At 36.1% G+C, this 16,401-nt stretch overlaps 1 protein-coding gene and 1 long non-coding RNA gene across 18 annotated transcripts in view; one reads left to right on the top strand and one right to left on the bottom strand.

Moving 5' to 3' along the window:
* AFTPH (aftiphilin) overlaps positions 1-16,401 on the top strand; it is a 68,678-nt gene that overhangs the window by 7,292 nt on the left and 44,985 nt on the right. The window lies entirely within an intron of this gene.
* Positions 7,122-16,401, bottom strand: part of LOC105374773 (uncharacterized) — a 68,499-nt gene continuing 59,219 nt past the window's right edge. For all 5 annotated transcript variants that reach the window (XR_007086343.1, XR_007086342.1, XR_007086340.1 and 2 more), the window contains one exon: positions 7,122-7,582. This is a non-coding gene — a long non-coding RNA (uncharacterized LOC105374773). The remainder of the gene's footprint in view (positions 7,583-16,401) is intronic.

Genomic DNA, 16,401 nt, shown 5'->3' on the forward strand with positions numbered 1-16,401 from the left:
GTAGCCACTAGCCAAATGTGTCACTTGAAATGAAACTAGCCCAAATTAAGATGTGATTTCAGTGTAAAATACACAGCAGATTTTAAAAACTAATGTGAAATATATCAGTAATATTTTACATTGGTCACATGTTAAAATAATATTGTGGATACTTTGGGTTAGATAAAATTTCATCTGTTTCTTTTTAAATGTGGCTACTAGAAGATTTTTAATTGCATATATGGCTTAATTGTTGTCAGTTGGACAGCCCAGCTCTAGAAATGACACTTTTTATTTAGAGAAAAAATATAAGATTAACTTAACTCTTATAGAAAGGAATACATAGATTTTTTAAAATTACATATTACATTTAAACCTCTCAATATATTTTTCGTAGTATACATGGGTTGCACGGTAATTTTTCAAGTTACAAGTGTTTGATCACAAACTATAACTTACTATGGTTCTTATGCTCTGAAAGAAATATGTGTAGGAGGACTTGAGGGAGGGTGTTAGGAAACTTACCTGAGGAATTGATCTTTCACCTAAAAATTGAAGGATGTGTGGGAATGTCTTAGGCACTGGGACTGTAAGTGCAAAGACCCTGTGGCACAAGGGAATGTTAATTATCTACCTTTCAGAAACTGGAAGAAGGCCTAGCCTAGAGCATTGAAAACAATAAGGGAAAGGAGGAGTAAGGCTGGAGAGAGAGGAATGGTTTAAAGTCTTTGTTAAAAATTTTTTTAAAAAAATCTTTATCACAAGAAGAGGATTGGCATGATCAAATTTGACTTTTAAAAAGATTACTTGGGTTGGGCATGATCAAATACTACTTAGGGAGATTAGTTTAGATGATAATGGCATTCTGGACCAGAGTGGAGTCAGAGGTGAAAAGAGGTAGATATTCCAGAATTGAGGGATTTGTGAGGTGAAATCATTTGTTACAGATATTAAAGGATAAGGAGCTTTGTCAAAGGGGATCTTAAGTTTCTGGTATGGTAACTGGGTTAGAGAGCCCTGGAACATGACCAGCTTTAAGGGAAGAGAGCTTGAGCTCTGTTCTTGTTAAGCTCAGTTTGAGATCTTTGTGGAATCAAGTGGAGAGGTCTAAGCAGGGAACTGGCTTGGCTAGGCTGTAAAGATGAATCTGAGAGTCCAAGAATATGGTAATTATTAATAAAAGCCTTAGGTAGATGAAATTGTTTTGGGAAAATTGAGTAAGGATGAAACCTAGATAAACTTGTATTACTAATTTGAGTGTGTTTAATACCTATGGGAAAATTTATTTTGTAGCCCACTTTGTGTAAAAATGAAGGCAAGGAGTAAGATCAAATAAGTTTAAATACATACCGTTTGACATATGTGTAATTAAGTAGATAATCTTACGTAATGCTTATTTGATTCTTTGGAAACATTTACCTTTTTCCTGCAGAAAATAAACTGGGCTTCCTAACTATCAAACAAGCTGAAGACAATTATGAATAGGTATTGATGTTTCTGCTGTATTAATAGATCTAGGCCAGGTGTGGTGGCTCATGCCTGTAATCCCAGCACTTTGAGAGGCCAAGGTGGGTGGATTGCTTGAGCTCCAGAGTTTGAGACCAGCCTGGGCAACATGACAAAACCCCATCTCTATAAAAAATATAAAAAATTAGCCAGATATGGTGGCAGGCACCTGTAGTCCCAGCTACTCAGGAAGCTGAAATGAAAGGATCACTTGAGCTCAGGAGGTCGAGGCTGCAGTGAGCTGAGATCACACCACTGCACTCCAGCCTGTTCAACAGAGTGAGTGAGACCCTGCCTCCAAAAAACAAACAAACAAACAAAAATCTAAGGAAAACTTACATAATTATCTTCATAAATATTGAAAAGGCATTTAAAACCCCATTTGTGATTTTTTAACAAAGCAACTTAAAATAAGAATTACTGAATAATTCTGTAAGACAATAAAAACATACACCTCAACTCAGAAATCAATATCTTAATTAAGAGTGAATATTAGATTCCTGCCTATCACCATTGTTATGAGACTTGGAAAGGAAAAGGTAAGTCTACCCCGATTTGCTAGTGATGTGATGGTATACTATATAACCACCAAGAGCTTTTGTTTATGTAAATAATGCTTGCCAGTTAGGGTGGAAGTGAAGACTACCATTTACATGAGCAGAAAAAGGTAAAATACCTAACAATAAACTTAATAAATATGAAAATTCTATATTGCTAACAGATTCAATTTTTATGTTATATAAAATTAACAATTCTGTATTTAGGTAATAAAAGTGATCCTTCCTAAGTGATTAATGAATTATTTACCACTTGTTATTCTTTAAATCATTCTAAGTGACATGTGATACTTTTCAAAGCAAAACTCCTAGGAGTAGGATTTTTAATATTTTCTTACATTTTAGTGAGGCCACAGTTTTTTAAATGGTTGAAATGAATAGTGTTTCTGCCTTAGCCACCCTCCCAAGTGAGGTTTTTGGTGTTTTCTTCTTGGTGATTGCTTAAGTTTTGTAGTATTTTCAGTTTTGCTGTGGTTTATCATCTCTCATCTTGTTTATTATGTGGATGCAAAAATGTTGACCTGGAGTATTTGCAGCTAAAATACTTCTGCTACAGTGACACTCAAAATCTGAAGCATTGATTTATTTTCTTAAGGCTTTTGTTTTTAGTGGCTATTTATAAAAAGCAATGAACTTATTAAGAGATAATTTAACTCTTTTTACACTGAACTCTTTTTATACTTTTTACTATTTTTTGATAATATCTTCATTCAAAAAAAAATTACTAAGAGTTTCAGATATCAAAAATTCATATTTTCTCTCGCCTGAAGCCCAAACAGAATATTTGAGTATTCATCACTTCTTACTTATAGTTAAGTTACCAAGTTACCACTTCCTCTTCTTTTCCATATTTCAGATTCTGTGCCAGCGGATGATAGTTTTCTGTCTCATTAGGTTTCATAAGTTTACACAAAGCACAGGGCAAGTGTTACACGTAACTAAAAAGTTCAGATTTTAATCAGATTAGCAGTGACCCTGGTTTCTGGAAGTAGGGAAGTTTTTTGTTGTTGGTGTTGCTGTTCACATAAGCATTTCTTTATGTTCATCTGCAAGTGAAACTGTGTTTAATTCTTTAAGCTTGTTTTTTTTTTTTTTCTGAGAATTCCATAACATTTAAATTATATACTAATTATAAGTGAAGCTTCAAAAAGGAATAAACAAATGATTTCATAAACTTTCTGGTTAAGTAGAAAGTAGTAATATTTCCAAAATGGAATTTCCCAAATCTAGAGCTGTCTCAAATACTTATGTGTTGTTTCAAAAATTGTCACAGTGCTTTAACTTTGATCCTTTTAAGTAAATTTTTCAAGTTTCATTTTTAAGAAGAGTATTGACGATTTAATATTGTAAACTCCTTGTTTTTGAAATCTTAAGAATGTTAAGTTTCTTAGTGCTAGTCTCAGATAAATGTGTACAACACAACTTTAAAATATTTATACAACCAAATCATAAGAGAAAACATTTTTGTAGGAAAAAGTACTATTGCAGTGATTTACCTATATCAATGAGTTTAGCAGTTCAGTTTAGAAACATTTATGTCATCCCTGGAGTTATAAAGTCCATTGGCATTCCTGTACTCTGGGAACTTAACACAAAGGTTTTCAACCTTAACTAACCCATTTAGTATCATCTTCGAAACTTTTAAAAAAGATGTTTGGGTCTACCCATTCTATTAGAGAAAAAAGTTAATAGAAAGCTAAGGTTGAGAACCTATTAGGGGAAAAAAACATGGAAACAAATGTGATTTGCTTTGTTAAATGTAATAGGAAATAGATATAAAGGAGGATTAATTCAGACAAGAAACCTGATACAACGAAAAGAACACTGGCTTTGAGTCCCACTTTCCTTACTTATTCTTTGTGGGACCGTGAACAGATTATGTGACTTGTTTCTTCCTCTGTAAAATGGGTTTTTGTGATTAAACTGAATGTATGAATAAACTGGTGTATGAATAAGTACCTTGCACAGTACCTATCACATAGTAACTTAGTAAATATAGGTGATCTCAGTTCTCCAGCCTTGATAGAAAACTTCATGCCTGAATAGAATTTTGAAGGCTTAGTCAGTGGGTTCTTTGGACATATAAGAACAATACATTAGAAGAAATGACGTGTGACAACTTAGAGGTAACCATGCCAGTGGAGAATCCAGAGGTAATTTTGTCTGGCTGGAACAAAGAGGGAGTATCTTAGCCATGTTGGCTAAGATAAGGAGTTTTAAGTAGACTGCAGTAATCCTGGCCAAAAATAATGAGGCCCTGACAAGGTATAGGTTGTGGGATGTTAAAACAAATACAGTAAGAGATATTAAGGAGGGAGAAACTTGATTGATTTAATTTGTGGTAGAGGGGGAGCGGTTGGGGTAACACTCAGATTTCTAGACTTAGAATTTAGAATATAGTGTAGGAACAAGTGGTTTCTGTTCACCTTTTGAGTAGAGGTTGAATTCAGTCGTGGAATTGGAGAATAGGAGATACATCTGAGACATCCAGGTAGAGAGATTTTAAAAAGGCATTTGGGTAGGCAGATCAGGAGGTCAGACATATAGGTAAGGTTTGAGCATTATGAACAGATAAAAACAAAAGGGGGATGAGATTTCTCAGTGATAAGAATATAGGGAAGCGGCTGAGCATGGTGGCTCACGCCTGTAATCCCAGCCCTTCGGGAGGCCAAAGTGGGTAGATCACCTGAGGTCAAGAAGTTTGAGACCAGCCTGGCCAACATGGTGAAACCGCATCTCTAATAAAAATAAAAAATTAGATGGGCATGGTAGCACAGGCCTGTAATCCCAGCTATTGCTCAGGAGGTTGAGGTGGGAGAATCGCCTGAACCTGGGAGGTGGAGGTTGTAGTGATCGCGCCACTGCACTCCAGCCTGGGCGACAGAGCAGAGCGAGACTCCATCTTAAAAAAAAAAAAAAAAAAAAAAAGAATATAGAGAAGCCAGGGCAATCAGATTCATTGAAGGATAAGGGATAGAATATAAGTAGGAGAATCAAAAGAGAATTGCCAGCAGGGCGTGGTGACTCAAACCTGTAATCCCAGCACTTTGGGAGCCCAAGGTAAGTCAATTGCTTGAGCTCAGGAGGTTGAGACCAGCCTGGGCAACATGGCGAAACACTGTCTCTACAAAAAATTTAAAAATTAGCTGGGCATGGTGGTGTACACCTGTAGTCCCAGTTATTTGGGTGGCTGAAGTGGGAGGATTGCTTGAACCCAGGAGGCAGAGGCAGCAGTGAGCCATGATTGCACCACTGTACTGCAGCCTGGGAAAAGAAGGAGACTCTGTCTCAAAAAAAAAAAAAAAAAAAAAAAAGAAGAAGAAGAAGAATGCTTTTCAGAAATGCTTTTTCACTTAAAAATGTATTTTAGACACTTTGCCCTATTAGTAATATAGCTTTCTCTTTTTTAATGGCTGCACTTTTTATTTACACACTTCCTTATTAATAGACTGTTTTCAGCTGCTTTTTAAAAAATTGAACAAACAATACTGGAATCAATACTTTGTGGAAATATCTTTGTATATTTGCATGAATGCCTCTGTAGAATACATCCTTGCAGATGAAATTGCTTAGTCAAAAGAATGGAAACAACAGACACCAGAGCCTACTTGAAGGTGGAAGGAGGGAAGAGGGTGAGGATGGAAAAACCACCTGTCGGGTACTATGCTTATTACCTGGGTGATGAAATAATTTGGACACCAAACCCCCGTGACACTCAATTTACCTATGTAACAAACCTGCACATGTACCCCTGAACCTAAAATAAAAGTTTAAAAAATTAAAAATTTTAAAAAGAATTCATTAAAATGTTTCGTATGCTACTAAACTGCAATAGGGTGTGTGAGCCAATATATACTCCTACCAATAGTATCTTTTAGAGAACTTTTACATTGTAGATACTGGACCAGAAAAGTTAATGTTTGCAAACTTAAACAATTGCTAAATGCTTTCTGAAAGTGAAAATTGTTAAAATTTGCCAAAGTGTTCCAGTTTTATGTTATGTTTGTATGTTTTTTAAAATGTTATCCTTAAAGTAGCATGCTTCCTAGATTGAAGGTAGTATGAATTTGAAAAATAAATAGTAATTTTCGTTTATTACTTTTATACACAATTCTGTAAAGAGAAAAAGAACACTTTCATTTTATCAAATACTTGGTTCGTTGAAATAATGTAATTTAAGAATGCATTTTGTCTTTGTAAGCACCAGATCAGGGAGGAAGTCTTTGTTTTAAAAGAAGCCCTGTTCCCTCCTCTTGTATGCTAGAAGCAGTAATTGGATTTGGAGGAATTGGATGAGATGGAAAGAATACTTTTTTATACTTTATATTAAAACCTATTTCTGGTTTGTAAAATCAATTTAAGAGGGTCATGACCAGCTTTTAAGAAAAAATGAAATAGAACTAAAAATCAGAGTACATAGAGAGTAAGGGTAAATACTGTTTGGCGAAACTTTTTTTTTTAAAATGTATGTTGGGTCATCATGTAAAATGTATTTCTTCTGTGAGTCATAGGGGAAAAATGTGTGAAAAATTCTGCTTTATATGACGGGCCAATTCTCAAGTTGTTTCTAACCAGATGTATTGGGTACCCTGCAAATAAATGTTATATATTTTTTTCTTTTATCCTTTAGCCTTTCTACCTCTCAGGAAAAAGTAAAACTTTAAACCAAGCAAAACCATCATTAAAAAAGGTCAACCAGCTAGGAATTTGTTCTCCATGGAATTCCTTCCATAGTTTTTGTGCAGTTATTAGTATCGGTAGACCCATTTGTGGCATTACCTGTGTACACTCCACACGCATACACTCTTGAGCACTATTTTGGAATGTGTTTATATTTGATTTTTCAGATATATGAAGTTTGTTTTATAATAATTCCCTGAAAAATATCATGTGTGCTATTATCTGTGGATCATTTATGACTGTCTTTAAGTTTGGTTAATTGTTTTGTTTCCTTCTGTCACTTCATTGCCTCCAGGTCATCTTTTTCTCTTAATTGATGGGTGGTAAGAAAACAAATTAAAGTAAAATTAATAGCACCTGGCAAAGACTTAATTTGTGAGGTAAATCTGCTGTTACTTAGGTCATATTTTAAGGCCAAATTTGTGAGTTGTAGATTATGTAGGACATCGTTGCTTACTTTCTTAGTGGCTCAGATAATTGAACTCTAACTGCACTTGGTTGCAGTTTTATAACCTTTAGTAAATGCTTCTTTCTGTAAGAGGTGAGTTGCTCTCATGGTGGGTGTTTGTGATGTAGAAAGCAGCACTGTCAGAGGAATGGCAGCTGCCACAGTTACGTTTTTAGGTTACAGACTAGAGTGGTATTTTTTCATTTTGAAAGTCCACACAGTAGTTTGTTACTTTGTTTTTCTGGGGATTTTTTTTCTCAGTATACACTAGTCACTTGAGGTTTAACTTAGTCTTGACCAAAATGCTAATTTAAAACTTTACAGCAAGAAACTTACTTTAAAGCATGTCTGCTGTTCATGTCAGCTGATTGCAAAATCTTCTGTGGGAAAATTTTCATGAAGTATTAAAGTCCTGGGGAGCAGAGAACAAGAAAAAGAAATTAGTTGGACTATCCAGAGTGTAGCATTATGCTCTGGCGACACTCACTGACACCTCTGCTTATGCTGAGGAATTGTCTCAAATCAAAGCAAATATTCATGATAGCAGGTCTAAAAACTCACTACAAATTTTTGTCATTTAGCTAGGGTTTTTTGCAGCTTGCATATAATGTACTGCCCCTCTTAACATACTTTCTCTTTAGACATGTTGCAGCACAAATGATTGGGTTGTTTGTCCCACATTCATCACATTTCAGGCCACATTTCAAATCCCACTTATTTACCTTGATTACATTTGGATATTTCATAACTTATTTGGTGAAGCACTAAGAGACCAGAGGTGTGGTTATAGAAATCTAATTGGAGTGTGCGTGAGTTGGAGCACAATTCAAGAGTGGTTAGTAGAATAAATGCCCCAGCAAGAATGATGATAATATATTTAGTTCCTGCTGTGAGCCAGGCTCTGAGGATGCAATGGTAAACAACAGAGGTCTATGCCTACACAACATTTACAGTCATTTGAGCTCAAATAAAGTAACTCTTGAAAGAGCAGTTTCGGTAGAGCGGTAGCATGGAAGCCAGATTGTGTTGAGTTGAGGAGTGAGTGGGAAGTTAGGAAGTCGAGAGAGTGAATAGGCACATCTCTTTCAAGAAGCTTGGTGGTGAGGAGGAGAAGAGCTAGGGCGCACAGAAGAGAGGATTCTGTTTTGTTTTGTTTTGTTCTGATTTGTTTTGAGTATGGAAGAGGCTGAACGTTTATAGGAAAGGATCAATAGTGATGGAAAATTTTTAAAAGCCCCTGAGCAAGCAGTTGAGAAGAAAAACAGAAGGTCCAGGGATTATCTGTAGACAAGATTGTGGATGTAAGCAAGATTTTAGTGAAGGGACATGAAATCAAAGCAGTTTCTGCCTTTCAGATTCTATTTTCATTGCAGAGTTTCAGGGATATGAGAGTAGAGAATTAGAGTGACTAATTTATTCTGCATCTATATAATAGAAGCTGAGAGTTCTAGGGCAAAAAAAATGTTTTCCAAGGGCTAATCCATCCATCCTCGTGGATGCTTCCATTTTGTTGCCCTTGTTATCAATAGTTATCCAATGTTATGTATTCAATTTTATGTTGAAGTACCTTTTGGGAAAAATAGCTAGTAAACTCTCAAATATGGTCAGCTGATATGATGAGTTAAAGGTACAACAATCTCTAATATTTTTATCTTGTTTAATTATTACATGAAACTATCCAAATGCAAATAAAATATGTTATTATGAATTTGTGTAGAAGGTTAAAATGTTCGGTAGAAGAAAAAATTTTTCATGGGAATTTTTGAAAACCAACTTCTCTCAAATAACTCATTGCTGTTTAACAAGGTAAGTAGCACTTGAAAAGTGAACGTGTGTTGCAGCTCATGTAACTGACATTATATATATATTTTTACTTTTATGTGTCAATTGTATTGACATCAAAACTAGAAAGACAAAATTTTTTGTTGTCACTATTGACAGTGTGGCTTTTTTAGGGTGATCAACTTCAGTATAAAGGTATTTTGCTGCTCATTTTCATTGTTTGCTCATATTTTGTACTATATACACTAATACTGAAACAAGATATTTGCTGCTTGGCATTTTTGTTGGTTATACTGTACTTTCTTGTCTTGTAAAAATCTTTCCCCTTCCAAGTTACTTGGAGGTTTCAGAAACCTTTTTCTGAACCACTCAGAAGCCTTTTTGTAAGAATTTTTATAATTGTAATATTTGCCGTCAATCACGTCTAATATTTTAAGACACTTATAAAATGTTTGATTAACTTGTGATTAATTCACCACTTACTAGTTATGCTACCTTGTAGGATTACTTAACCTCTTTGAGCTTTTATTTCTTCATCTTTAAAATGAAGCATTTCCACCTCATATGATAGTATGAGGAGATAATTGAGATAACTCACGAGTTCTCTTCACATAATATTGGCCCATAGTAAGCACTCAATAAGTATTAATAATGACATTGGTGTAAACATGGAGTGAAAACACGTGGAAGATACTATTTATTTAACAAATGTCATCTTAAATAACATATTATGCAGTTGGTGACTCAGTGACATACAGTTGGTGTCTGATATCTTGGGTTTTTGTTTTTAGGCTGGCAAGTTAATTAGAGGCTCTGCCTGTATTAATTTCTGTTGTGCTAATATGCTAAGAACAAAAGAAAAAACACCCAAAAAGAAAAAACAATTATTTCTGTAGATTTTAAAATTTAGAGCTGTGAAAACAACTGTGATATCATAGCACTCTAAATATATTGAAAACCAAAAAGTTAACTAAAACCCAAATCTTCATGTGGTTCAGAAGAAGGGCTCTTTTCTACTTCTTTATGACTCAAGCAGAAATGTAGGCTGGGCAAATTCATTGACAGTACATTTTGATATGACCTTAAAATTTCCATAAGGATATTATAAAGATTTGGAAGAATTTGAACTACTGTACACCAGGCAACACTTGTAATGTAAATTGATGTTGTTAATGCTTACGTGACATTTTCATTCATTTTTCTAAAGAAAATACGGTTTTTCTTTTTTGTTTTTTCCTTCACTCACCCAAGTGACTAATTATAAACCTCAGACATATTGTGGTAAAAAGATGGTGATTATTTTTTGTCATCCATTAAATATACTTTGCTAATGTCATTGATACTATTGAAGTCATTAGCATATTTCAGATACAGTTGTTTTTCTTCTCCCTTTTATCACCATCCTTCTTTCTACAATATCTTTTCCTTCACCCTCCATCCTGGTCCCTATAAAAATAAGTTTAGAGTGAAGCTGGGTTGTATAATCTAGGTCAGTTTATCTGTCCTTGAAAGATGATGTACACATTGATACAGCTGGGCTGGTACCCTGTAAAGGATGGGAGTTTCTCCCAGTTGAGCAGTGTGTGCTGTATGTTTTTAACTTGTCTGGAAAGAACTCTCGATGTTTGATTCTGGAAAGATTGCTAGAGGGCCTCTTACTTAGAGACACTCCACCCCCCTCAAATGTGAGCCCATGGACCTTTAGGGTGCATGATACTGTGTGTGGATGTTGGGGGTAGGAGGGTACCAGGGATTAACTATTCCTTAGAGGAATACGTAGGGAATACCCTATATATTTCCCACATGTGATGAATCTTTTCCATCCCAACCAAGCACCTTCTAAATTCTTGTGGTTGTTCATCTAACCAAATAGGAGCTACAGGCAGTTTACTTCAAGATACCAGTGAGAACTTCCGGGTTGCATTTTTCTATTTCACTTCAAAACTTCCATCTTTTAACAGACTGGTCACTGGACCCTTGAGCTTGTTTAGAGGTTATGATCTCAGTCCTTCAACCTTGGGCTTCAGATTTAGTTTGTTATCAGCATCCCCCCGCCCCCATGCCCCCAAGCCTATGAAATTATATAGTTATATAAGTCAAGTTTTATATTTTCTAGGGATTGGTTAGAAAAACTGGCAATAAAGTCAACTTCATGTATCTTTAGTGTGGTTATGCATATTTTTCTTAAGTGACTTATTCTTTCAGTGACCTTTTAAAATATAGAGTCATATGAATGTTTGTGCCAACTAAGCAAACATTGACTTAGGTTTTGTTACAGATAGGTTATTATTTTAGCCACAGAGTTGGTGAAAGTTAAAATATAATGGTAGTTGATCATTTACTTAGTGCACAGAATGTGCCAGGTACTGAAGGTCTGGTATAGTTTTAGTACATATTATCAAACAGTTTTCCGAATATCTGTACCAGTTTATACTTCCACCAGTAAAGTGTGGGAATCACAGTTTCTCCACATCCTTACCAAAAGTGGCTGTGGAGAGAATAATTTTAATTTTAGTCATTCTGGTAGATGTATAGTGGTATTTTATTGTTGTTTTAATGTACATTTTTCCCTGATGACTTTTTATATGCTGTTGGCTATTTGGATATCCTGTCTTGTGAAATACCTGTTCAAATATTTTGGCCATTTTTCTGTTGGATTGTTCCACATTGACTTGTAGGAATTCTTTCCATATTCTGGATATGAGTTCTTTGACAGTTACATGTTTTGCACATATCTTCTCCCAGGCAATGGCTTTCTTGGTTTTTCACTCTATGGTATTCTTTTGATGAAGAGAAGTTTTAAATTTTAATGCAGTCCAATATATCAATCTTTTCTGTAATCAGTGTTTCTGTTTCTTGTTTAAAACATTTATGCCTTTCCTAAGGTCATACAAATAATCTCTTCTGTTATCTTCTGGAAGGCTGATTGCTTCACCTTTCACATGTAGGCCCATGAACTATCTGGAGCTTATTTCTGTATAAGATGTTAGAATCAGATATTTTTTTTCCTGCCTGTGTGGTTATCCAGTTAATCCAGCATCATTTGTTGAAGAGTCTATCCTTTCCCCACCACACTGCAGTGGCATCTTTATCACAAGACCATGTGACTTTAAAGCAAGTCTTGATATCAGGTAGTTTAAGTCCTCCAACTTTGTTTTTCTTGAGAAACTATTTTTAAATGGCCAAATAGTCTCAGACAGTTGTTGGCCCCATTCCTTCCTTCTGCCTTCTCAAGCCCATCTTGCCTTTTGACCCCAGAGCTTACAACTTACAGACTCATCATCTCTTCTTTTCCATGACCATTTCAGACTAGAGGTTAGAATTCCATAAGCAAGTGCAGCTTCTCTTTTGGTGGAAGATTAATACAGAATCACCTTCACCTGTTGTATGCCCTGCCATCCTGGCTACTAATCTGGCTTGGGGCTTAGGTTCCATTGCTGACTGCTATTGGGCTTCTAAACTGTTTCCCTGACCCCTTTATATTGGACCTTCTATGCCAGAATTCCCAAACCCAAAACCCTCTGATTTTCCTGGTTCGTAGCCCTGAAAGTCGGCTTCAGTTTGCACTTCTATTAATTATTTTTATTCACCTATATTGTCCCCTAATCTCCTGATAAGGATGTGATTTCTCATAGATAAATCTCCAAAGTACAGGAAGCCCACCCAAATTCTCTATCTCTATGCTCTGACTACTAGGATATCCTGTTTGCTACCCAATTATGAGACCCTCCTGTCAACTGTTTTTGTATACAGTGGCTTGCAAGACAATAGCGGCATTATTTATTTGCTCCCCTCTAACAGGTCTTAGAATAAGTAGACATAAAAATGGCAAGTTACACACATGCATGCACACACACACATGCTTGCTTGTTTGTACAGGTTATAAAGAAATTAGATGACTATTTGGGACTCCTTGTGGTGTGGATGGAGAAAGTAGTCCATTACGAAGGATGAAGAAACATTTGTTCTGTTTGTTGTGTGCCAGACACAGTACTAAAGTAGCTTATCTATCCTTTTTTTCCCCTGTTGAGCAGGAACAGCTATTTAAAGCCCATATTTTATGTGTTAAAGTGGATTATAGAAATGAAACTTTATTTGTAAATTCATTATACAAGTAATACTTCAATTAACATGAAACTTCTTTTAAGTAGAGTTGGCCTAGACACAGGAATTTTCTGGAAAGTTTTGAGTCTCCCCTACACTGATTGGTTCAAGGACACTTAGAAGCAGTGGCACTCTCTTAGGTTTCTAAAGGGTAAGTTGGGTCAGAGCCAATACCTGCTGCAGGGGATCATGCAGCAGCGCAAGTTCTCGCCATCAATTGGTGACCCCTTTTTGAGAAATATGAAAATGTTTTTACTCTAGAAGGCCAATAAAGCCTGTCTCACCTATAATGGAAAATAGAGTACCTTGCAAAGGTATGACAGGAAGAAAAACTTGCGGAGTTGTTGCTTTGGTTACAGAGTTTCTGATTCAGATCTTTGTATTTGCATTAATGTCTGAGTTTGGAATAGGTTGTGAACCAATAAATTATTTCATTTTTAAAGAGTAAAAGTTTTGGAAAAAAGCAATAGGTTAATCACAGATTAGGCTAGGAAAAAAAAGCCATCACACATAGTTCTTTGAAAGTAAGGTATTATGAGCATGTAAAATGGTACAGCTACTCTGGAAAAGAGTTTGGCAGTTTTTTACATAACTAAACATGTACTTACCATGATACCCAGCAGTCACACTCTTGAGCATTTATCCTAGATAAATGAAAACTTACATGCCCACAAAAACCTGTATATGGAAGTTCCTAGCATCCTTATTATACATACTATTTATATATACTATTATTATGTATATACTGTTTATACTATTAGTGTTTATGTATGTACACACACACTATACATATGCAGTTTATAATAGTAAGATACTGGAAACAACCAAAATGTCCTTCAGCAGGTGAACAGTTAAACAAACTGGTATATCTGTACAATGGAATGCCACCAGCAGTAAAAAAAAAAAAAAAAAAAAAAAAAAAAAAAAAAAAAAAAAAGACCTGACCTATTGTTACAGGCAGCAACCAGAATGGACCTCGAGGACATTACACTGAGTGAAAAAAATTCAGCCTCAAAGGGTTGCATACATAATATCCTTTCAAAGGACAAAATTGTGGCGATGGAGAACAGATTAGTGGTTGCAAGGGGACAGGGATGGAGGTGGAGTGGGGGCAGTTCTGTGTCTTGATAGTGGTGGTAGTTACACAAATCTGAATAGAGGATAAAATTGAGCAGAACTATACACAAACACAAACGCAAGTTTTTTTTTGTTTTGTTTCGTTTTGTTTTTTTAATGGGATGGAGTCTCACTCTGTCACCCAGACTGGAGTGCAGTGGCACGATCTCGTCTCACTGCAACCTCTGCCTCCCGGGTTCAAGCAATTCTCCTGCTTCATCCTCCCAAGTAGCTGGGATTACAGGCACCCGCCACCACGCCTGGCTAATTTTTGTATTTTTAGTAGAGATGGGGTTTCACCATGTTGGCCAGGCTGGTCTCAAACTCCTGACCTCAAGTGATCCTCCCACCTCGGCCTCCCAAAGCGCTGGGATTACAGGCGTGAGCCACTGCACCCAGCCCTTTTTTTTTTAATGGTAACAATTTAACAAAGTCTGCGAACAATAATGTTAACAGTAATGTACCAACATTGTCATGGTAAATTTTATATTATGTCTATTTTACCACAGTTTTTTAAAAGGTGTTATGAGCATGTAAAACTAAGGAACAGTCTCTAGCAAACGGGGCATAAAGCAGTTTAATACTGTCAAATTTGAGGCTTCAAGTAAAGGATTATTCAAATTGTCTAATATATGCCAAAGTCTAAATTGGGTGAGGAATTTAATTAAGGACTCCAATATCAGATTTTAACAGTGTTTACTTAGCTAGAATTGTATAAGTAACACATTTATTCTAAAATACACATATTTAAATGTAGGCATATAAATCTCTTTGAATGCTTTTTTTTTTCCATTTTGAAACAATCACAAACATAAAAAGTTGCAATGTCAATACAAATAAATTTTTTTTCTGGGACAATTTAAGACTGCCAGCCTGATGCCCCATCACTACCAAATAGTTTAGTGTGTATCTCCTACAACCAAGGACATTCTCATGCATGACTACAGTACTACCATCACAAGGCTGGGCATGGTGGCTCACGCCTGTGATCCCAGCACTTTGGGAGGCCAAGGCGGGCAGATCACGAGGTCAGGAGATCGAGACCATCCTGGCTAACACAGTGAAACCCCGTCTCTACTAAAAAAAAAAATCCAAAAAAAAAAAAAAATTAGCCAGGCGTGGTGGCAGGCCCCTGTAGTCCCAGCTGCTTGGGAGGCTGAGGCAGGAGAATGGCGTGAACCCGGGAGGCGGAGCTTGCAGTGAGCCGAGATCGTGCCACTGCACTCCAGCCTGGGCGACAGAGCTAGACTCTGTCTCAAAAAAATACATACATACATACATACATACTACCATCACAATCAAGAAATTAACCTTGATACATTGCTGCTATAGTGAATCTTTTGGACTCTGTTAAAGTAGATGACTCACAATCATCCCAGTAGCAACCTTTATAGGAAGGAGACCAAGTGCTGCGTTTACTTCTCATGTCTCTTTATTCTTCTTCTTCAATCTGAAACAGGTTTTCAGTCTTTCCTTGACTTTCATGAGCTTGATACTTTTGAAGATTACAGGCCAGTAATTTTGTAGGCTGTCTCTCAGTTTGAATTTCCCTGAAATTTCCTCCTGAAGTCAGGTGTTGTATTTTTGACAGGATATCCCAGAAGTGATCCTGTATTCTCATTGCATCTCATCAGGTGGTGCATGATTTCAGTGTTCCCATTACTGATAATGTTCATGTTGATCACCTGATTAAGGTAGTGTCAGGCTTCACACTGTAAACTTATACTTTTTCCCTTTGTAATTAAGTATATTGTGGGGAAGTACTTTGAAACTATGCAAATATCCAGTTCCTCATCTAACTTGCAGTTTATTTACTTACATGTTTATATCTGTGAGGACTCAGTTTATTATTTTATTTATTGGGTTATAATCCATTATTATCTTTATTTCAGTGCTCAAATTGTTCCTGATTTAGTTAGTAGCAGCCCTTTCAAGGTAGCTTTTGTATTCTTTTGACATGTCACTATCTTTATTAATGCTTTTAAATTTTATTTTTATTTAATGTTTTTGAGACAGGGTCTCACTCTGTCACCCAGGCTGGAGTAGTACAGTGGTGTGATCACAGCTCACTGCAGCCTTGACTTCCTGGACCCAAGCAATCCTCCCACCTTAGCCTCCCAAGTAGCTGGACTACAGGTGCATGCCACCATGCCTGGCTAATATTTTGTTTTTTTTGTAAAGACAGGGTTACATCATGTTGCCCAAGGCTGGTCTTGATCGAACTCCTGG

This window comes from Homo sapiens, chromosome 2 (assembly GCF_000001405.40).
Source record: "Homo sapiens chromosome 2, GRCh38.p14 Primary Assembly".
NCBI classification, from domain to species: domain Eukaryota; kingdom Metazoa; phylum Chordata; class Mammalia; order Primates; family Hominidae; genus Homo; species Homo sapiens.